The sequence below is a fragment of the Homo sapiens genome, chromosome 7 (genome assembly GCF_000001405.40).
Source record: "Homo sapiens chromosome 7, GRCh38.p14 Primary Assembly".
Taxonomy (NCBI): domain Eukaryota; kingdom Metazoa; phylum Chordata; class Mammalia; order Primates; family Hominidae; genus Homo; species Homo sapiens.
This window is the reverse complement of record NC_000007.14, coordinates 105742731-105765528: the sequence shown is the minus strand read 5'-3', so window position 1 is coordinate 105765528 and position 22798 is coordinate 105742731. Positions and strand designations below refer to the sequence as shown.

The 22798-nt window shown below is 45.3% G+C and overlaps 1 protein-coding gene across 3 annotated transcripts in view; it reads left to right on the top strand.

The window, feature by feature from the left end:
- Window positions 1-22798, top strand: part of ATXN7L1 (ataxin 7 like 1) — a 271828-nt gene that overhangs the window by 111071 nt on the left and 137959 nt on the right. Inside the window, exon 4 of one of the 3 annotated variants that reach the window (NM_152749.3) lies at window positions 4066-5339. The exons of the other annotated variants lie outside the window; for them this stretch is intronic. Within the exon in view, the coding sequence (NP_689962.1) occupies window positions 4066-4151 (86 nt within the window). The 3' untranslated portion in view covers window positions 4152-5339. Of the gene's footprint in view, window positions 1-4065; window positions 5340-22798 lie in introns of those variants that run through there. 3 annotated transcript variants of the gene reach the window in all.

Here is a 22798-nt window from a genome sequence, read left to right as displayed (position 1 = left end):
GGTTAAGAGATGAGTCTGGGTTCCTGTTTCTGCCTCTTTCAGACTCTGTTCATCTGCAGACTGTATGTGTTTGCTACATCTGCTTTGTAGGATCAGCATCTACTTTGTAGGATCAGGGAAGGATCAAATGAGTTAATGAATACAGATATCCCAAGCCCAGCACACAATACAAATGAGCTGTTATGACTTATTTAGAGGGTTTTTTTTTTTTTTCTGACCCAGGCTGGAGTGCAGTGGCGCCACCTCTGGTCACTGCAACGTCCACCTCCTGAGTTTAAGCAATTCTCCTGCCTCAGCCTCCTGAGTAGCTGGGATTACAGGCATGCCCCACCATGCCTGGCTAATGTTTGTATTTTTAGTAGAGACGGGGTTTCACCATGTTGGCCAGGCTCGTCTCGAACTCCTGACCTCAAGTGATCACCTGCCTCAGCCTCCCAAAGTGCTGGGATTACAGGTGTGAGCCACCACGCCCGGCCTAGACTTATTTTAAGAGAGGTGGCAAGAACTCCTACTTCAAGGAAGATGGTAACACTGAATAGTTTGTTCATTAAGACAGACAGATGCCTAAGTGAATCTTTGAAATAATCCTGCATTTCATTCATGGTGGAATCTCATAATCTTTTTTTTTTTAAGCCTAAAAGCCTGAGCCAGCTGTACATGATATATTAAACCCACACATTTACTTACTTTAGAAAGGTTACTATTTTGAGAGTATGATCGTTCCTGGAAAAAAAAATTTTGATGTGCCTCCTGTCCATTGAAAAGTTACATATAAAGAATAATTTCCATTCCTTGGATTATGTCTTCAGATTCCTGCATTCTTTTCAAGCTTTGTAATAAAGCAAGGGAAGAGAGTATTGTGAACTCCTTGAGGAAGACATTCCCTCTCATTCCTCCACATTGCCCCAGAGTTCACCATGTCTGACAAATAGTGGGTATTCAGTCAATAGCTTATGACTGAATGAATGATTTAGATGTTTAATCCTTTAAGTCAGTGATACGCAACTTGTAGTCATGTGTCAGAATCCCCTGGAGGGCTTGTTAAAATCAACTGCGGCTCCCCCATCCCAAGTTTCTGATTCAGTAGATCTGGGTTGGGGCCCCAGAATGTGCATTTCTAGCAGGTCCCCAGATGACGCTGATGCTGTTGGCCCTGGGACTATACTTTGAGAACCACTGCTTTGGGGTCCACTCCACTGCTTAGGTCCATTGTGGTTTTTTTTTTTTCTTTAAGCTTTGCCAAGCCTTCTAGAAAATTGACATCTATCTCTGTCTGATTTTGCTCCGTTAAACTGAGATTGATTTTGTAAAAATTACTAGGATTTGACCAGATGGAAAAGCTACCTGGATTTTTTTGTTTTTAGTTAAAAACTACAGCCGGGCACCATGGCTCATGCCTGTAATCTCAGCAATTTGGAAGGCTGAGGCGGGTGGATCACCTGAGGTCAGGAGTTCAAGACCAGCCTGGCCAACATGGTGAAACCCCATCTCTACTAAAAATATAAAAATTAGCTGGGCATGGTGGCGGGCACCTGTAATCCCAGCTCCTTGGGAGGCTAGGGCAGGAGAATCACTTGAACCCGAGAGGCGGAGGTTGCAGTGAACCGAGAACACGCCATTGCATTCCAACCTGGGTGACAGAGCAAGACTCCATCTCAAAAAAAGCAAACAAACAACAACAACAAAAAAAAAACTACATTTTGCCCCATGTATAATTATGAAGGAAGTGACTATCAGATTGCCACCTCCTGCATGGGTGTCTATGCTAGCAGGACACAGCTGGTTGGGGTGAAGTATAGCGGCCCACCTTGCAGCATTTAAGCCAGATTGCATCTTCATCCAGTTTTGGAATTCCCACCTAGTGTCAAATGCACTTAATGGCAAAGCTGAAATGAGACATGACCTTTTGCAGAAATTGCAGATGAGCAAAAAGGGCACAGGAGATGAGCATATGATACAAAGGGGAACATGATGTTTGCAAAGTCTTCTCATGCTGGCTGTGGGCCTGGCTGAAGTTATTATGCCCCCAGGTTTAAAAACAAGAGGCAGCCTCATGGCCTGAGGAAGACTGCCCTCTGCAAAAAAGTCATTCTCCTAATGCCAGATGTCACTCTGGATGGCAGGCAAGAGTGGAATTGCAAACCCAGGTCCTGGGGAGCTCCTCCCTCCTCCATTCCCCCTTCTTGGGAAAGAGTCCTTGAGACTGTGAGGACTGAGTGGACACAGAGGGATGGGTCAGTGGAGGGGGCAACAGGGATACCAGACATCCTCAAGAGAGAAGAGATGAAAATAGAACCTAAGAAGGGAATTGAAGGGGAGGAGAAGACGAGAGCCTTACCCTAAAGTAGGAAGAGTGTGTTAGTAACCTGTTGCCGCATAACAAATGACTCCAGCGTTAGCAGCTTAGAACAACAAATCTGTGTTGTCTTGCACAGTTTCTGTGGGCCAGGGATCTGGGAGTGGCTCAGCTGTGTGGTTCGGCTCAGAGTCTCTCATGAGGCTGCAGTCAAGCTTTCATCTGAAGGCTTAACTGGAGTTGGAGGACCCACTCCTAAGATGACTCCCTCACATGGCTGTTGGCTGGAGGCCTCAGTTCCTGGTGCTCAGTACCTTAGGCCTCCCCACAGCCCTGCTCACAGCATAGCAGTTGACTTCCCTGAGAGCCAACAACCCAAGAGAGGGAGGGAGAAAGTCAAAATGCCTTTTATGGCCTAGTCTCAGAAAGGACACGCTGTCACATCCACTCTATTCTGTTCATTAGAAATCAGTCTCTAAGTCCAGCCCACACACTGCAGGAAGGGAATTGGGCTCCACCTTTGGAAAGGAAGAGTGTCACCTCAGTGAGACTCTTGCCAGGCTCAGAAAAGCACAAGAATCATTGACAGGGCCTTTGGTGTAAAGATGAGGAGGGCTGCAGCCATTGGGGCCATAGGGATGCACCTGATTGGGCTGAAGAAAGGTGATTGGGTAGGGGAAGGGGCATTAGAAACTCTCCATGGGCTTGGAGCCTACCATCCTATAGGGGTTGTGCAGGCCCCTTCTCTCTTTCAAGCTAAAGAGTGACTTTGCTTACAAAAGCAAAGCCACCTATGAGTCCCAAGGCTCAGATTTGGTTCCAGAGAAGAGAAAGACAGGGCTGGAGGCTTAGACCCAAGGCTGTGCTGGAGAAAGAGCAGTACACAGCACTGTGCATCTCCTTCTAGGTTGTCCGCCCTGCCAGGTGCCCAGTAGGAAAAGAACAGGGATTGAAGGCAGAAGGGTGTCAAGGAGTAAAGAGAAGCTTCTGGGCTGTGATTCTCAGGAAAGTCATTGGGAGGGAGTGTTAAGCAGGTGGTGGAAGAACCCCACTATTTTTTATTAAAATCCCACTTAGGATGATAGCTCAGTCCTGCCAGTAATGGCAGCAGTCAGCCCTTCATGGCTACAGCTCCTGGGTTGCACAGAGTCCCTCCCATGGGGTGGATGTTTGTTTTGGCCACCCTGGCTCCATAAATGGATTCCATGTAGCAGTCTTCTTTTGAGAATGCAGAGCCCTTGGGGTCATATTGTACTGTGTCTGTTCTTATCTCCCCTATCATCCCCAGGGAATAAGCTAATCAAACTTACTGATGATTTTACACTGAGAAGGAGATAGCTAATAACTTGGATGACAAGTATTAGAATACAATGTGATGTGGATAAATTGGGTCCATGTATTAAGAGCTATAAAATGAGATTCTATCAAGGCATGAATAATGGTGCCCATGAAAAGGATTAATCAAATACCCCATTAAAAAGGTATAGGAATTCAGGTCTTGCACTCCTGCCCCCACCCCACCGCCATTCCATTCCCCCTGAAACTGCTTTCTACTAGGAGAAATATGGAAAAGAGTTTAGAGGAAGTAATGGAAAAATTGGGACATACATTTTGATAGAACAAGATCATGAAGACGCATTTAAGCAACCAGTGTTTAATTTAGGGGGAAACATGGCAATTGGCATGAGTAATCATTTACAAATATAATTTCCAAAGGAGCCATGTTGATACCATTCAGCAAATGCCAACAAAGCATTTACTTTCCAAAGGGAGAAAGCAAGACAACAGGAGAAATGAAGGCATCTCCAGGAGTGGACCAGAGAGCAGCCAAGCCATAGAGAAGCATCAGGTGTGAGAATGGAAAACGCAGAAGAGACGTACAACTTCTGAAAGATCTCAGAGGACTGGCATTGTCTGGAGACGGCTTCCTGGAAGAGGAGACTCCAGCAGAGCCCTGAAGTGTGGACAAGCTTCCATTCACTGCAAATTCGTGAGCACACTCTGGTGTCAGGATCTAGTAAGGAAATGGGCTTGAGCAGAGCAGGGGGTACCTGTGGGGTTCTTCTCTTCATTTTCACCACCACAAAGCTGGTCTAAGCTGCCATCAATTCCCACCTGGACAACTGCAAAAGCCTTCCAGCTGTTCCTGCTTCCACTCTTGCTCCTCTACAATTCATTCTGCACGCAGAAGTCAGAATCAAAATCAAAGTTCATCATGTCATTCTCTTGACTTGTGGCTTCCCTTTGCTCTTAAGCTAAAAGTAAAAATCATTATCATGGCTACAAAGTCTTGTGTGGTCTGGGCCACATCCTGTGCCAGGCTCCCTTTCATTGTCTATATTCCAGTCAAGCTGGCCTTCAAAATTTCAGCACATTGGGTCTTTCTGCCACAGGCCCTTGCACATACATGCTTTTCCCTCTGTACATGTGATTTTCTTTCATCCCCGCTTTCCAAAGCTAACTCTGACTCATCCTTCAGACTGCATCTTAATGATTACTTCCTTCTGGAAGACTCCCCTAATTTTCACAACTAGATGAGCTCTCCCTTATATGTTGAAAACAAGTATTTCTTGTGTGAACAGAAATGTTTAATGTCTGCCTTCCCAACTCAGCCACAAGCTCTGTGAGGATGGGGACTCAGTCTTTGCATCCCTCAGAGCCTAACATAGTCTCAGTTAATACGTGATAGCTGGAGCGTGACATTTCATTAGGAACAGTGAGGCTAGTTGAGAAATTATACCTCACCAGTATATAGGAGAGTACCATTAGGAATTCTTAATGGGATGAAAACCTGAATTCATGTCTAGACCCTGCCACCTGCTGGCTGTGCTGTTTTAAATAAATTGCAGATCCTCTCAGAGCCTGTTTCCTCATATATAAAATAATGGGGATCCTAACAGCCCCCTCATATGGTTGTAGCAGGAATTTAATTAAATAATATATGGAAAAGCATTTTTTTAACTGTAAAACCATACATAAATATCCTTTGTCACTTTTCCCAGTGCATGACACACTGGGTCATTAAACATCTATTGGATGGGTGGATGGTTGGATAGATGGACAGACAGATTAACAGTTAGGGGGCCAGTATGAGTGACAAGAGGAGAACTTGGCATATGGAAAGCATGATGGAAGCCAGAAAAAGGAGAGACTTCCCAGAAGTAGGAGGAGGCTTGTTGATTCATCCACAGTGTCACATGCAGTAGAGCAGGCAGGAGAATGAGGGGGGAAAATCATTTAACCTGGGTGGAAGGAAATCACTGGTGACCTCCAGCTGATTCCTCCTCAGCCTTTTCATGTTATCTGGGCTTTCAATGACATGCCTTAATTGTAACTTAATCACTTTACTGATTTCTATCTTTGGGGGGGGCGGAAATCAAATTGATTTGCACATATGGCAAAATTGGTAAGATTACTCCAGCTGCTGCCAGCAGGTGCTGACAAGTAAAGAACTGAATGTCAGAGAATAAGAAAATACACTAAACATTTATTTTAATAAGGCCTAGAAACCTTAGTTATTTAATAAATTGCCATGGATAATTGGTTTCAGTTTCTAGAGTTGTTTCATCTTTAACTCCCTGTGTTCCAGAAGGAATCGTGCTGGATGTGTAGACAGGGCCTTGTGGTTTGAGACCTATCTGAGCTATCACACATTTCTCTGAGCATTTTCCTGTCTCTCTGATCACACCCCACTTCCTGCCACCACTCCCAGCATCCACCTGGGATAGGTCACTCTGACATACACACACACACACACACACACACACACACACACACACACACTCACTATCCAAGCTGCCAGTCTTCTTATTGGCTCCTCCTCCAGCGAGGAGGTTTAAGCCTCACCTCCCTGCTGGGCCCTGATCAAGCTGGTCTGTTTGTGTATGAATCTTGGGAGTGAGTGGCCCAAGCTGGATCTGAGCCCAGCATTTATCATCTCAGCGCTGCCTCCCACAGAAGAAGGAAGACATAATGAATAAATGAAACCCCATGACTGTATCAACATTCATCAACCCATTACTCCAAACGTGGCTGATAAAATTGGGTACCTGGATTAAAAAAAAAAAAAAAGTAAGAATAAACTAAAAAAAAGGCCACTAAATAATATTTTTATATAATTTAGTATATTTATTATATATTTAACATTTTCTGTGTAGTAGTTGGTGATGTGTTACATGGGTTTATGGGGAAAGGAGGCAACATGCAAGAAAACTTTAAAATGGTTCAAAGAAAGGATTTGAAGCCTTACCACCCCCGGCCACCCCACGGACCCCCTTCCGCAGGGATGGCTCAAGATGTAAAGACAGAATCGTGCCTGTCTCCATTCTCTTCCCCGTACCTCCCAAATCAAGGGCCTTTTTTACTGTCCTGTGTTCAGATGTTGAGTGTCATCAGCAGAGTGGTTTCCTATGAACTGATACACTTCGTTTGCTAAGAAGGAAGGCTAAGGCCCTGGTCTATCTACAGATGGCACAGTCCTGAGAAGAACCAGCACATTCTACCCTGGGCAGTGTAGGGAGGTACAGAGTAAAGACTTCACACCTGCATTCTGCGGTAGACCCTCATGGAAAAACTGGGTGGTGGCCAGGGAGGCCTAGGCACAGGCAGGGGAGGGCCCCCTTTCAGAGTGGCATGGCAGGGGGCCACAGAGCCAGAACCTGTCACCACTGATCTGTCCTCCACTGGCTACCAAAGGAGCAAACCCCAAAGCTCTTGAGTCCTTCCAATGTCCAGAAACGTGAGGCTAAAATCTCCTGCTTCACACTGAAGAGTGTGATGGTTCAGAGCCGGGCTGGGAGCAAGGTTCACTGCTCAGCCAGCCTTGTCTAGCTCCTGCTCTGACTGAGTGTAAATCTTCTCATGTGTGGAAAATGGGTATAATCATGCTTCTCAGAGAGGTGGTATGAGGATTAATCACCGTCATGGATGTAACATACTTAGATTGAGCCCAGCCCAGGAGGAGAAGTGAGCTGATGGAAGCATGGAAGGCCCTGATAGGTTTATTCCCCTTGCGAAGTTCTGCTTCCCCCTTCACATATCACTGCTGGGAGCCAGCCCAGCCTGCCCACCAGGAATTTCATTCCACCATAGCTCTTAGAGGCCGAGGTGGGAAACCTCAAGAAGAGAGCAGTCCATGAGGGGTTTTGGAGTAGGGACTCGGAAGAGGGACAAGGATGGAAAAAAGGCTTAGGGAAGAACTATGGAATTCCTAGTGATCCAGAGAGGGCCTGGAAGAAGAGCACCAGCCAGCTGGGAAGACAAGTACTTAGCCTTGAAACAGAGCAACTGTGTACCAGGGCCCAGGCAGGGTAAATTCCAAGGAGTATCAAATCTTTCAAAAAGAGCCAGGCATGGTAGCTCACACCTGTAATCCCAGTACTTTTGGAGGCTGAGGCAGGAGGATTGTTTGATCCCAAGAGTTTGAGACCAGCCTGGGCAATATAATGAGACCCTATTGCTACAAAAAAAAAAAAATGTCAAAATTAGCCAGGCGGGGTTTTGCATGCCTGTAGCCCAAGCTACTTAGGGGGCTGAGGTGGGAGGATCGCTCCTTGGGCCCCGGAGATGGAGGCTGTAGTGAGCTGTGACCGTGCCACTGCACTCCAGTCTGGGTGACAGAGTGAGACCTGTCTCAAAAAAAAAAAAAAAAAAAATACAGAAAGGTAGACTAGGATGGTAACTGAAAAAAAAAAAAAAAAGCTTTTGAATGTCTGCCTTTTTGGTGAAAAAGAATTCAAATTAATTTGGCTTTGAGAATTTTAAATGCACACATCATAATAATTGCATATACCCCAGAGCATTGTAAAATCAGAGTTGGAAATCTCTTACCATCTATACTATAAAAGCAAGAACCTAATCTTGCAAGCAGAGTTTTAAAACTCCTGAGCCCAAGGAAGATATCAGTCTGCCTGTGAAATTTGCCTCCATCCTTCTTGTGATTATCTTTTCCCTCCCTATCCCTTTTTGTCCTTACCTTCTCTCTAGTGAATGTGAGCAGAGAGGAGGCCTCACAAACCTGATTTTTTTTTTCAAAAATACAATCCCTAGGAAAACCAAGGAAAGAAATAAGAATAGAGAGCGAGCATGTGCTCATTTAGGCCCTCGCCTAATTTCTTTTATTCCCCTCTATGTCTTTTTGGCCCCTTTCGTGACTGTACAACTAATGCTGTGATGGTTTTGAAGGTAGTATTTGTAGTCTGTTGGGTGTGAAGGGAGCCTTTTATCATATCCATCTTTTGGGAGCTTTTTTCCCCCTCTGCAAATCGAAACAGGTATTTAATTCAGGCATATTTAATTTTAAGTGTTAAAAAAAACTCCCATCTACTAGTATAACACTATTCATTTATTTTGTCCATCATGTAGGTGCCGTAGCTCTGGAGCATATAATTTAGGGTTCTGGACTTACTGCAGGTACCTGGAGGTCATCACCGTTAAGTGAATGAGTTCTTTATTAGCCAATATTTGATCAAGCCTTGAAAATACTAATAATTATGTTCATGGGCCTGCCTGCTGAGATTAGAAAACGAAAAAAAATCTTAAAGCTTTCATTTCTTGCATAAGTGAATAGCCAGATTTAATCTTCCTTTCATCTGTGATTTATATTTATTACATTTGGTGAGCTTGGTTAGTGGTTTAGATTCCTTAGGTTTTTGCTACATCCAGGTTCCTATTATGCAGTCATCTTTGATAAAAACTAATGCATGCAACCCTGGACCCTAGAGTACAACATGATGCCAAATCCCTTTCCAAATGTGTTTCCTACTAAAGCAAACTATATTGAAAGGCATTAAAGAGAAGCATTCCCTGGTCGCTTCCAATTGGAAATATATATATTTCTTTTTCATAAATCACATTCACATTTTTCTCTCTGTCTCATTACCTCTATTGTGAGCACTCCCTTTGCCCACATGCTCATGAGAAAGTGATTATGGTGGGTTGTGCCCTCCTTAAGAACATGGCTGGCAAACAGAGTTTTTTTAAATGGGTGATTATTTGCATGAAAATGAGTGCATTTGGACATATTGGCATGCATCAAGGGCAAAATCCAGACAGTGAGAAACTGCAGATTGGACAGCAAGAGTCTTCAACAGAAAAATTGTAAGGAAAAGAATGAGGGGGAAATTGGTCACTTAAAATAAGTTTAAAAGGCATGCAAAAAATGGGAGGACTGAAATGCAGCCTCTGACGATACACGCGTGGGTGATGACATCATAAACACACACAAGGACACAAAGACTGTGGAGCCAGGAGTCTGCTTACTTTTGGAGGGAGGTGGGTGGCTACAAGCAGACCAGACACATGGAGTGGGGTGCTTGGCAAAGTTCTGTGTCTCCACCTGCATGACGGTTACCTGGATGTTGCCCTTCCCATCCCTCCCAACGCAGAGCATCTCTTTCGTGTGGTGTTCAGTGCCCATGCTTTATTTTACAATACAAAGCTTTTCTTTTAATGAGTCTACTCAGGGTTCACGTAACCAACAGTCTTTCGGGAATTTCACTTTAGGGATTAGGATCTAATAATAAAATGTGTCTCACTTTTCTCACTAAGAGGGAAATTGAAATTCCAGCTGGAAATTCACCAGTAGGATTGTCTGACAGCTTGGTCAGAAATTAGAGAAAAATTTAAAAAGAGGACCAGTGGATGGGGCTTTTCTAGGCTCTGGCTACAGAAGACTCCCCTGGTCTTTATTTTTTTCCACGTTCATTTATACAGTGAATAATGTAGTTATCACTTATAGTAATGGAATAAGCCCTTGCAAACTCACCTCCTCTAAACAAAAACAAGGACCCTGATGGCAGCCATATTGCTCCCTGCCTTTCCCCTCCTTACCTTGAGTAATGTTTAAAGAGCACAGAGATTTGCTTAAGGGAACCCATCCCTGCTGCCAGCACCCATTTCCTCTATACCTGTTGCCCCTGAAAGTGCCATTCTGAAATGACTACCCTAGTGGTGTGATTTAGGATGTCCTCTAACATCCCTCCAGCTGGGGTATCATTTCTTTAAGGTTTTTTTCCCTGTTAAATTCAGTGCTTCTAGAGAAGGAAACACCTTAATATGAATGAGTTAGGTGAGAGTTCCAAAAGAGGGTAAAACCATAAAGAGTATGACTCTGGAAACCGGCGATGAGGGCACAGGAAGGAAGACCCAAAAAAGAGGTTGCTGGGAGTTTTGCCTTTTCTTTTTTCCTTGTTGGACCTGGCCTAAACTTGTTGATATTTTTCAGCTTATATCTGGAATCCCACTAAAACACAACATTTATGTCTGTCCCCAGGGCTGGATGGTACCCACAGGACTTAGTGCATAGGCTTGAGTCCAAACTCAAGTCATGTTTGGGAAGAAACAGGCCAGATTCCACCCCATGAGGGCAGGGACCTTACCTGGTTTTGCTTACCATTCAATTCTCAATTCTTGGCACAGTGCTTGGCACATAGTAGGTGCTCAGTGAACATCTGATTTAAAAAATGAACCAATAGACTGAGTATGGTGGCTCATGCCAGTAATCCCAGAACTTTGGGAGGCCACGGGGAGAGGATTGCTTGAAGCCAGGAATTCAAGACCAGCCTGGCCAACATAGTGAGATCCTGTCTCTACAAAAAAATTTAAAATATGCTGGGTGCAGTGGCTTATGCCTATAGTCCAGCTACTCAGCAGGCTGAGGTGGGAGGGTCCCTTGAGCCCAGGAATTTGAGACTGCGATGAGCTATGGAAGGCAGCTACGCTCACCACTGTACTACTAATGCTGCACGATGTAGACCACGGTGAGCTATGATCGCACCACTTTACTTCAGCCTGGGCAGCAGAGTGAGACTCTGTCTCTTAAAAAAAAAAAAGAAAGAAAGAAAAGAAAAGAAAAGAACAAATAAACAAGGGACCAGACTAACAAACAGCTTGAAGCAAAAGAGATAGTGCAGAGATCTTCCAAGATGGGCAGTGAGAAAGTGTCTGTGGTCTCTCCAGGGGCTGCCAGGGATGTCCTTCCCCTCTCCTCCACTCCTGAGTGTTTTCCCGTCTGAAGCCCAGGGTCGACCACCTGTGCTCTGTGCCTGCCTATCCTCAACAGGAAAATCAACCAGTATAGAGTTCTTGAGACGTCAGAGCTCTTACCGCAGTCTATCCCTCTTGCACAGCACGTTTTGGGTCATAGAAGTATTTTCCCACAGATTGTCTAATTTGTGCTATACAATACTCCCATGCAGTGGGTAATTCCCACCTTACAGAGAGGAAACTGAGACCGAGAAGGATTAAAATGGCTTTTGGGGGGGCAGAGCTGTAACTAGATCTCAGAACTTTGGATCCTTACAACCCACATCCTTTCTACTGCACTGTCCCAGGCACTAATGCAGACAGAAAGCCTCATCAGGATTCAGACCTGCCCTCAAGAAGCTGAAAATATGATTCTGAAAGAGAAAACTCCCATAAATAGTGAACATACCAATAAACATAGAGCAGCACTGCCTGATCCTTTCCCAGTTTTACTCCTCAAGGATGCTCTGAAAGATGAGTTAGCTGTTGCTTTTTCTTAGAAGGGTTCTTTCTATGTAAACTTATTTCCAGAGTGTAGAATGGGTGGTTCAGCCTGTCTTCAGCTGTCTGCTGTAATGGAGAGGAGAGGGAGAGCATAAATAATAAAAACCCAAAGTTAATCCCAAAGATCCCATTTTAGTCACTTGTGTCAATCTCACACTCCAGCAGACCTCTTTAGAAACAACCACATCATAGATAGGAAAAAGAAAGCAAAATATCTAAATAAAAATCCATCTATAAACTAGATAATCTTCACCTTATACCAGTGTCATCTATAACAGAGTTAAAACTACTAACACAGAATGTCCGTGCTTTTGGACTTTCTTCCTCCCAGACTGTATCACGTGTATTCTCTCATTTGATGTCTCAATTATCCTGTGCAGGAGGTAGGGCTGATGTTGAGGTTTAGAAAATTTAAGTGACTTGTGCAAACCCCAGTGGCCACTTAGTTGCAGAGCTGCAACTTGCACCAGAGCTCTTTCCAGCCCCCAACTCTTTTCCCACTTCTACAACCGCCCCTATCTCCTCCAGTGGCTTCTCCTTCAGCCGTCCTTGAGAAAGACTCAGCAGCAGCAGCTCAGCCACCTGTGAGTCTGCAGCACTGGCTCTCACCAGCTCTGTGGCTCACATCACAGTGGTTAAGTGTTCACTGACCACTTGGCTGTGTTACAATCATTTAATTAGTCTGTGTCACAGAGGAAAAGATGCTTTATTTAGAAGCCTAATAGTGAAAACTTCTGAGTCTTCAATTCACTATGGTCTTCAATTCACTATGAGCTTGGTGGCATTTGGATGATCTTGGGGTCTTCCAGCTGTGCTCTTAATCCACTTTGTACCGGGAGGGTAAACAAGGGAGGGCTTTGTTCAGGGTGCGGCCACTGTGTTGAGGACTACAGGAAGGTTGTAGCTGGGTTAGCTGAGACAAGACAGACAGGAGGAAGGCAGGATAATGAGAAAAGCCACATTTTAGGACCTTAGGAAAAATAACCAGACCTTTTTATGCTCTTCTTGCGATGAAAAAAGTGTAGAATTTATCTTCTTGGGACCTGGGTTGGGGCAGTCTCAAAGTTCACATCCACGTGACAGTTGACAGCCAGTGCTTCTCAGCCTCAACTACATGTTTGAGCCACCTGGGAAGCTAACACTCTGCATAGTTCCAGTGGTAGCCAAGCATGGGAATGATAGTCAGAGGGTGGTGTGGTGGCTGTCACACATCCTAGACTAGGGTGAACTACATTTCCTAGAATTCCCTGTCCTGTGAGTTTCTAATTGGGATGGAGCCTAAGAGAAATTCTTGGGAGATTCCAAGGATGGAAAGGCAGCAGCACTTTGCAACACATACGTTGTCACTCATTTGCCAGCCGGGCCTGCAACTGTTCCACCTTCTGGATCCTCCTTCAGCTTCTCTGACTCCTGGGCCAGGTGTGTGCATTTAGCTCCATGCTGAAGAGCTGCAGCTTCTGCAGGACATTTGTACCATCGAGGTCAAAGGCAACAAGAAGTGACATGAGTTTCAGTCCATCTTCATGAGGTTCCAGTTAAGGCCTGTGAATTCGCAATTGTTCTTCCCGACTGCCTGTCCTGTGAACCTCACATACTCACATCAGATGCAAAAACAACCACCTTGTAGAAGCTGCTTAACCAGCTCTTACTATTGCAAAAGGTCAATACCTGAAATAAATTCATGTAAATGCTGATAGATATGTCTGTACTGTATTAATCCTTGTGTTCTGCTTCTTCCCTTGAGAGCTGATATGGGTGGTTTTCAAGATTATGGTTGTTTGAAGGATTGCTATCTACCGAAGGAGGCCCAGTATAAGAAAGAGATTCCAGTGATTTTGATCCATGGAAAGGCAGAGCTGACGGCTCCCTGTCTCTACCCCCACATCCCCAGGGGGACACCTGAGGGGCACCCTTTGAAAATCCTTGGTAGATGAGTAGTCTTCAAGTCTAGTGGTAAATGGGAGGCCCCTGAGGAGAATCTGAAAAATGCAAATTCCTGGGTTTACCTCAGATCCAGAAATCCAGCTATCAAATGACCAATCTGAAGGTGAGACTTTTTTTTTTTCTTTGAGACAGGATCTCACTCTGTTGCCCAGGCTGGTGTGCAATGGCAAGATCACAGCTTACTGCAGCTTCGACTTCCTGGGCTTATTCAATCCTCCCACCTCAGTCTCCCAAGGAGCTGGAACTACAGGCATGCACCACCATGCCCAGCTAATTTTTTTTGTATTTTTAGTAGAGACGGGGGTTTCCCCATGTTGCCCAGGCTGGTCTCGAACTCCAGAACACAAGTGATTCACCCGTCAGGCATGAGCCACTACACCCCAGCCTTTCTGGGGTGCTGGGAATGTCATTTCTGATCCAGATGCTGGTTACGTGGGGATTTTGTTTGTGAATAGGCATCCAGCAGCACATGTGTGATTTGTGCCTTTTCCTATATGCATAACTCCATTGAGAGTTTTATAACACTCCCACCTCCCTCCCACCTTCCCATCCATCCCTTCCCATGGAGTATGGAGTAATCCCATACTCCAGTGACTGGCCAAAGCTGAAAGCCACTAGACTGCATGATTCCTTAGACACCCTTCCTGGCAAAGTAAAACACAGAGAAGGGAAATAGAAAAATGTTCAGCAATTGGGGAGTAGTTAAGTCAAGATACATTCATCATTCTAATGATATAATCCTATGCCATTATTACAGCATTGAAGGAAAAAACAACAGTGAGGCAGCCAGTCAACTTGAAGCAACGAAAGTGGGTTGCAGGAGCTATGAGAGAAGCCAGTTTGAAAATCACATTGGAACCAGATCGTGGAAGGCTTTGAATGCAAACTGAGGAAAAGGAAAAGCCGCTTGCCAAAGGAGTGATTGATAAAAGTAACTTTTTTTGTTGTTGTTTTTTTCGAGACAGAGTCTTACTCTGTCGCCCAGGCTGGGGTCCAATGGCGCAATCTTGGCTCACTGCAACCTCCACGTCCCGGGTTCAAGTGATTCTCCTGCCTCAGCCTCCCAAGTAGCTGGGATTACAGGCGCCTGCCACCATGGCCAGCTAATTTTTGTATTTTTTAGTAGAGACGGGGTTTCACCATGTTGGTCAGGCTGGTCTCGAACGCCTGACCTCAGGCGATGCACCCGCCTCTGCCTCCCAAAGTGCTGGGATTGGTGGCTCACACCTGTAATCCCAACACTTTGAGAGGCCAAGGAGGGAGTTCAAAACCAGCCTAGGCAACATAGCAGACCTTGTCTCTACAAAACAATCAAAAATTAGCCAGGTGTGGTGACACGTGCCTGTAGTCCTAGCTACTCAAGAAACTGAGGCAGGAGGATCACTTGAGCCGGGAGGTCAAGGCTGCAGTGAGCTGAGATCTCATCACTGCACTCAGCCCGGGCAATAGAGTGAGATCCTGTCTCAAAAAAAAAAAAGAGCAATTATAAATCTAAAATTATATTATCCATCATATTTAACTGCTCACAAAGTATGTTGTTTGAAACACAAACTTAACAATGAGCAGGCCCCGGGGCTGCAAACAGGGACTTACCCTTCCTTGGAAGTCAAGACAGACTTTTCAGTCTCAGCTTCTTTCTAAAGTGCCTGCAGTCTACACATGGTTCAAAGTGCACTTAAATGAGTGGGAAGAAAAAAGTCAATCCCAAGTTCTCCCATTTTGAAGACCTCATAGGTTCCTGTGGGGTACAGCTGTTAAAGGCAAATTAAGATTTTAGGTGTATCGTGCAGGTGCATAGTGCAGGAAGAACCTTCACAGACTAGTCCATTTTTAGGCAGTAAGTGCCCAGAATACAGCCAACAGTGATCCTCAACGGTGGGTTTGGACCTGGGGGAGAAGGAAGCAGGGGTGACAACAGACAATTGTGTTGATTTACAGTCATCTCTGAAGCTTTTTGAAATAAAGAAGTGGAGACCCTACCTGAGACCTGCCAAGTCAGAAGCCCCACAAGTGATCTGGTGCTGCCCAGATGAAATCAACCTAATGCTGTCTACTACTTTCTTTAATATCCAAGGATATGAAAGATATTAATCCAGGGATATTAAGGGATACAACCTCTCACTCTTTTTTTTTTTTTGAGACAGAGTCTCACTCTGTTGCCCAGGCTGGAGGACAGTGGCTCAATCTCACCTCACTGCAACCTCTGCCTCCTGGGTTCAGGTGATTCTTGTGTGTCCCATACAACCTCTCTTAGTGGCCCCTTTTCTCAGGGTGACAACTGTGTGTACATCCTGCCCCTATCTCCACCCCCAAATGACAACTCCGAAGACTAGAACTCTTGAGCTTTCAAAATAAAGGTAGAATTAGACTTAAAATCATTGGTTAAGGACTAAAGATATTGTCAAACTTCTTTTGAAAAGCCCACTTTCTTTCTCATTCTTGTTTGACTTGCAGTATGATGATTTTACCCTTCCTTACTCTCCTGTACTGTAACTATACCCTAAACTCTATTTTGAGGGCTATCCAGAGAAAATTCTTTAATCCTGCAAGGAATTTCCTCTGAAACCCAAAACACTTCCAAACATTTCTCCACCAACCCCTTGGCCTGTGCAGACAGAATCTAAACTCATATTAACATTAGTCTCAGTCTAAAATCATCAACAAGACAAATCTAATAAGGAAAACAGTAAGGTGGGGCATTCCAAAGTGAGGGGCGAATTCCTGTGCCCCCAAGCTGTTCCCTTCCTTCTCCTCATGCAGATAATTTAGAATGGTGCCCAAGCATTGTCTCTCTCACTCCTCACATTCCTCCCCAGCAGAGGGCCTTCCCCCAAACACTCTGAAAGCTCTTTTCGTTTGCAGTTTTTTCTTACTAACATTTTTCAGGAAAGGAAAGTTTACTTTAGTGTGCCCTGCTGCCTCATGAGACCACCTGACGATCTCCTTATCTCCGGGGTGGGCCCAGCTCTAGAGACACAGGCAGCCCTGTCCACACTTGGCCCTGAGTGCTGTTTTGCTCAGCTCCCCAGAGAGTTTCAAGTGGCAGAGGTACACAGTGCAAAAGCCCCAAGCCTCAGGCCTGAGGGAGAAGACTCTGGAAGCAGGAGGGTGAGCCTCAGCTTTCTAGCTCAGTCATACCCAGGCCCAGGTAACCAGGGGGACACCTAACTGTGTCACTGGCAGGAGGATTCCTGCAACATTGGTGCTGGGTCTGCAGAGATCTCACGAGGGCATAGCGTAGGACCTGTCCATTTGTGTGGTCCAACAGGTAACATCCAATCAAATGGAACTACAGAGCCATGCAGCTGGAGAGAGATCCCTAAGATGGTCGGATCTAACCTCCCCAACCCTTTATTGCAGTAGAGCAACTCGGGACCTACTGAGACCAGACAGGCAACCCAGCCAGAGTCTCACAGGTAGAGAAGAGCTGGACCACTCTCCTAGACATTCCAGGTCCAGCATCCCACCGCTGCCCTTTGTCCCTTGTCACAAATGCAGACTAAGTCTGCTCTGAATATGTCTTCCCATAATCATTTTATTAGAGTTGGGTGTTGTGTGTGCAAAAATCATGCTCAATGTGTTTTTCCTTTGCTCTTACACCACAACAATCATCAACAGAAGACTTCTTTTTTTTTTTTTTTTTTGAGATGGAGTTTTGCTCGTTACCCAGGCTGGAGTGCAATGGCACGATCTTGGCTCACCACAACCTCCACCTCCCAGGTTCAAGCAATTCCCTGCCTCAGGCTCCTCAGTAGCTGGGATTACAGGCATGTGTCACCACACCTGGCTAATTTTGTATTTTTAGTAGAGACGGAGTTTCTCTATGTTGGTCAGGTTGGTCTTGAACTCCTGACCTCAGGTGATCCGCCCACTCAGCCTCCCAAAGTGCTGGGATTACAGGTGTGAGCCACCACACCCGGCCAACAGAAGACTTCTAAGACCAAACATGTTGGAGTTTTTCCCACCACCAAGCAAACAATCACTTCCACAGTGGACACCAGCTGGATGTCCTCTAATTCAATTCTGACGCTATGTACCTAGACATCGCATCAGATCCCATAGGGTGAGGGCTCAGTCCCCAAGACTCAGTCCCCCCACTGTCCCACCAGTTGCAAGTCTGGGCCTCCAGAATTTCTGGCCTACTGGCTTCAAGTTGGGACTCTTACAACACCCTCTTTGGGTTCAATTAATTTGCCAGAGTGGCTCACAGAACTCAGGGAAACACATTTACTGGTTTATTATAAAGGATATCTTAAAGGATACGAATAAACTGCCAGATAAAGAGATACATAAGGCAAGGTCTGGGAGGGTCCCGAGTACAAGAATTTCTGTCCCTATGGAGCTAGAGTGTGCCACCCTGCCCTGAAAGTGAGTTCCTCTTAATCTTTCTGTAAGCATCCACGTGTTCAGCTATCCAGAAGTTCTCCGAACCCTTTTGGGTTTTTATGGAGGCTTCATTATGTAGGCATGATTGATTAAACCACTGGCCATTAGTGATGAACTCAACCCTCAGCCTCTCTCCCCTCCCAGAGGTTGGCAGGTGGAGCTGAAAGTCCCCGCCCTCTAATCCTGCCTTGGTCTTTCTGGTGAACAGCCCCCATCCTGAAGCTACTTACCCGCTGCCATCAGTCAACTCATTAGCGTGCAAAAGACATCATTTTGGCGCTTCTAAGGATTTTAAGAATTGAATGCCAAAAAATGGGTTGAAGACCAAATATATAGTTCACAATATCACAGGGGCAAATATGTTTTTCTGTTTTTAATTCATTGGACAGATAGCGCATGTATCTACTACAAAATTCAAAAAAATCACAGAAGGGTATACAGTGAAAAGTCTCCCTCCTACTCCTGCCCGCAGTCACCCATTCACCATTGCAGAAGGCAAGGCTGTTCCATCCTCCCAAAGATAAGCAAGTATACATGTGTATATTTTTCCTTTTTAAAATAAATGAGTGTGCATTTTATGCATCATTCTGCTCCTTGCTTTTTGACTTAATAATGCATTCATTTATTAATCTAGTAAATACAGTACTAAGGAGATCCTATTATGTGCCAAGCAGTGGCTGGGATTCACAGAGAACCACATAGATTCCCTGTGTCTAGAAACTTCCTGGGGGATATAATAGTAAACAAAGAAGTGTATGATGTCAGGTGAAGAAAAGTCAGTGCAGGAAGGGCAGAGTGCTCTTTTGCACAAGGTAATCAGGGAGTGCAGTCAGCGAGAGGGTCTTGTAGATACTTGGCCAAAGGACTCTAGGCAGAGAGGGCACCAGGGGAGAGACGCAGAAGCTGGGGACATGCCAGGCTCTCATGCCCCTGGGACAACACAGGGATGAGATGCCTGAAGTGTCAAGGAGTGAAGAATGTGAGAAAAGAGATTGACTGCTCAGGGAGGGATCCAGTCAGGTAAATCCTTCTAAGGATGCAGATTTTATTATAAGTGACACAGAAGCCCTTGGATGGTTCTGAGCCAGAGAGAGACATGCTCACTGCGGTTGTTGGGTAGGCAATACAGTGTAGACACAGGAAGGGTGGGAACAGGACACCGTCACAAGGTGCTTGTAAAAGTCCAGCCGAGCAGTCCTGGTGGCCTGTATCAGCCTGGTGGTGGCGGCACTGAGGAAAAGCCAGATTCTGAATATGTTTGGAAAATAGGGCCCACGTGATTTGCTAGGATATGGAGTGTGAGAGAACAACAGGAGGTTAGATGAGCCTGAGGTTTTGGCCTGAACCACTGGGGGAATGGTCCACTGAACCTGAGACAGGGAAAAGCAGGGGAAGGGAGAAATCTAACCTTTGGTTTGGGACATGTTATGTTAGAGGTGCTGAGTCAATGTTCAAGAACTGGCAGTTGGATATAGGAGTGTGGACCTCAGGTGGAGGTCAGGGTTAGAGAGACAAATTTGAGGCCCATTCACACATAGGTGTTACCTAGAGCCCTGGGAACAGATGGGATTAGAGCAGCTTCCTGACATTTTTCACATCATGGCTCCACTCTGGGTAAACAGAGAGTAAGACCGGGACTCCAGGGCCTCCTGCCCCTCCCAACAGGCCCAGCATCGTCCCAAAGGCCAAGGGGATCGGTTGCACCTGCCACTCCTTTGCAGCTTCTTGCATTGCGTGGCCATGCAGTGTGAAGTAGGGGAAAGAGCCCCTAGAACACAGGGCAGCTCGGGAACTGGTCAGCTGGGTGACAACAGCCGTGGACCCCTCTCAGCCTGGTTGCAGCACCCAGAAGTTTCAAATTATGTGGTCTCTGAGGACCTTTCCTTCCAGCTGTAATGTTATTTGCCTGTAAGTCAAGTGGTACGAGGCGTACAAACGGAATTCCCGTACACGGCCCACATGAAAAAATATATTACAAGGATGTTAAAAGAGAAAGAGGAAAGAGTGTAATCAATTGTGGAGTGCTCCTCTGGGGAGAGGAAGTTAATTTCAAACTTACCGAAAAGTTGCAAAAACTGTCCACCCCCTCCCCTATATATATGTGTATCTATACAGATTGGTTTTTTAATATATATTTATATTTTTAATTTTTTCCTGACCCATTTGAGAGTAAGTTGCAAAACTGTATCCCTTCACCCCTTAATATTTCAACATGTATTTTCTAAAAACAAAGATATTCTCTTACATAACCAGAGTACAATTATCAGGAAACTAACATCATTGATTAAAGCTTATTCAAATTTTGCCAGTTATCCCTTAGAGCAAAAAATAGTTGTTGGCCGGGCACAGTGGCTCATGCTTGTAATCCCAGCACTTTGGGAGGCTAAGGCAGATGGATCACCTGAGGTCAGGAGTTCAAGACCAGCCTGGCCAACATGGTGAAACCCCATCTCTACTAAAAATACAAGAATTAGCTGGGCGTGGTGGTGGGCGCCTGTAATCCCAGCTACTCGGGAGGCTGAGGCAGGAGAATCGCTTGAACCCAGGAGGCGGAGGTTGCAGTGAGCCGAGATTGTGCCACTGCACTCCAGCTTGGGTGACAGAGGGAGACTCCATCTAAAAAAAAAAAAAAAAAAAAAGTAAAGAAAGAGTTTTAATCCTGGAGTACATATTGCATTTAGTTGTTGTGTCTCTTCAGTCTCTGTCATTCATGGCCTTCATGTTTTTAAAGATTACAAGTCTTGGATTTGGTTTACCTGGTGATTCCTTGTGATTGGATTCAGGTTTTGCATTTGTGGGTGGAAGGCTTTTTTAAGGGGGTAAGATCTAAGTCTGGCAAGTTGGGATGAGCCCAGAGGGAGATCAGGACAGTGCTGCTGACACATGGAGAACAAGCCCTTTGGGTGGGGACTGGGCAGCTCAGAAACCTGAATATTCCCCTAAAAAAAAGAATATTCCCCTGGTGTGGGCACAGAGCATGTTAAATATACTCTAAGCTCTTGGGCAAGATAAGGGACTCTCTCCCTAGCGGATTTAGTCTCCCACAACCATTTAGATAAATGGTTGTGCATGTAAAATGGATTAATAATGTCAGTGTTTGGAAAGTGCCTGCCCAGAGTAAGCCCTCAGCATGTGGTAGCCATTTTTGTAGTGTAGAAGGACACAGACCCAGGTTATTCTGAATATATCTAATAGATCATTGTTTCTGTGTGGGGATGTGTTGTCTCATTTAATCCTTTGGTGACTTGAGAGGTGATGATGTTTCTGTTTTTTAACAAATGGGAAAACTGAGGCACAAGGAGCACAGCCATTTAGAGAGAGAACTGGGCATTGAACCAGACCTCAGCCATCAAGCTCATGCTGCAACGTGCTGTTTCAAACCCATTAAAGGGTTTTCTCCGCAATCAGTCCTTGCTTTGCTTTGCTCAAAACAAGACTTAAATAAAGACGCCAGCTCCATTTTCCACTCATGTCAGTGATTGATACTTGATTAATGTTCAGGATTGCTGTCATCTAGAGCATAATTTTCGCAGATGCAAAGACCAATTTTGTTGTTACTGAGGCGGAAAGATCTATTTCCTCATAAGTTAGCAAGCAGATTTGGAGGGAAGCATGAACCACAGGGTGTCTTGCTGACTGATTCTGAAAGGAAGCTGTGCCGCATTTGGCATTGTTAGCATTTATGGCTGGTGGGTCAGAAGGTCCAAGAAGGCCACATGAGTGTGGCCACCTCCTAGGCTGCTGCAATGCAGCTATGTAACATTCAGCATAGTCACGGACTTCTAAAGCGATCATATCTGCTTTCTCAGTGTCGCCCTGAGTGGCACAGGGAACCTTGGAGAGCTCCCTTCCTTGACTTTCCAGAGGTGACAGTGATTGTTAGAGTCCTGTAAACTGCCTCCTTATGCAACCGAGAATTCTCCTGAAGAAGACTTGCTGCTTGTCAGAGACAGTGAGCCAGCCGGCAGCCTCCCTGGGACTCTTACTCAGGTGCAGCTGAAGGAGTACTGGGTTCCAATCCAGCTTCCTGCCACACACTGCCTAACCGCTCTCAGCTGTTGGCAATAGGAGCAATGTGCTGAGTACCTGGCCCCAGTTCTTGGCACAGATATGTAATCATTCTTGGTTTTTCTTCTTCTCCTTTATTTTCTGTCTGTTCTTTGCCTCCGTGTGGATCCCCTGTACCTCTTCCCCTCCTCTGACTCCCTCAGTAAAATCAAGAGTTATTTTATACCAAAATATAAATCAATTACAGAAGCTGGGAGGCCAGATCTGACAGCTCCCACTCATCTCTGACCAGGAGAGGAAAAGACCCTTCAAATTCTAATTTGAAAAGCAATGAGCTTGACCTTCAGAGGTTGGGCTGCCCACAAAGAATCACTTCCTGATTTTGGCTGGGGAGATAAGGACTGGAAGTTGGGGAGGGCATAAGCATGTTGAGAGGGGGAGAGGTGAATCGTGGGATGCTGGAAGATACTCGTCAAGGGAAGCTATAGGATCCCCAGCCAGTGACCTGTTTTGGAGGAGGGCCCAGGCTGTGCGTATGTGTTTGGGAAGTGGGGGTAATGGCTGGCCATCTTATGTTTAAAATTAAAATAGCTTCCCTGGAAGTATGAATATGGAAAATAAACAGTCTGCAAGCTT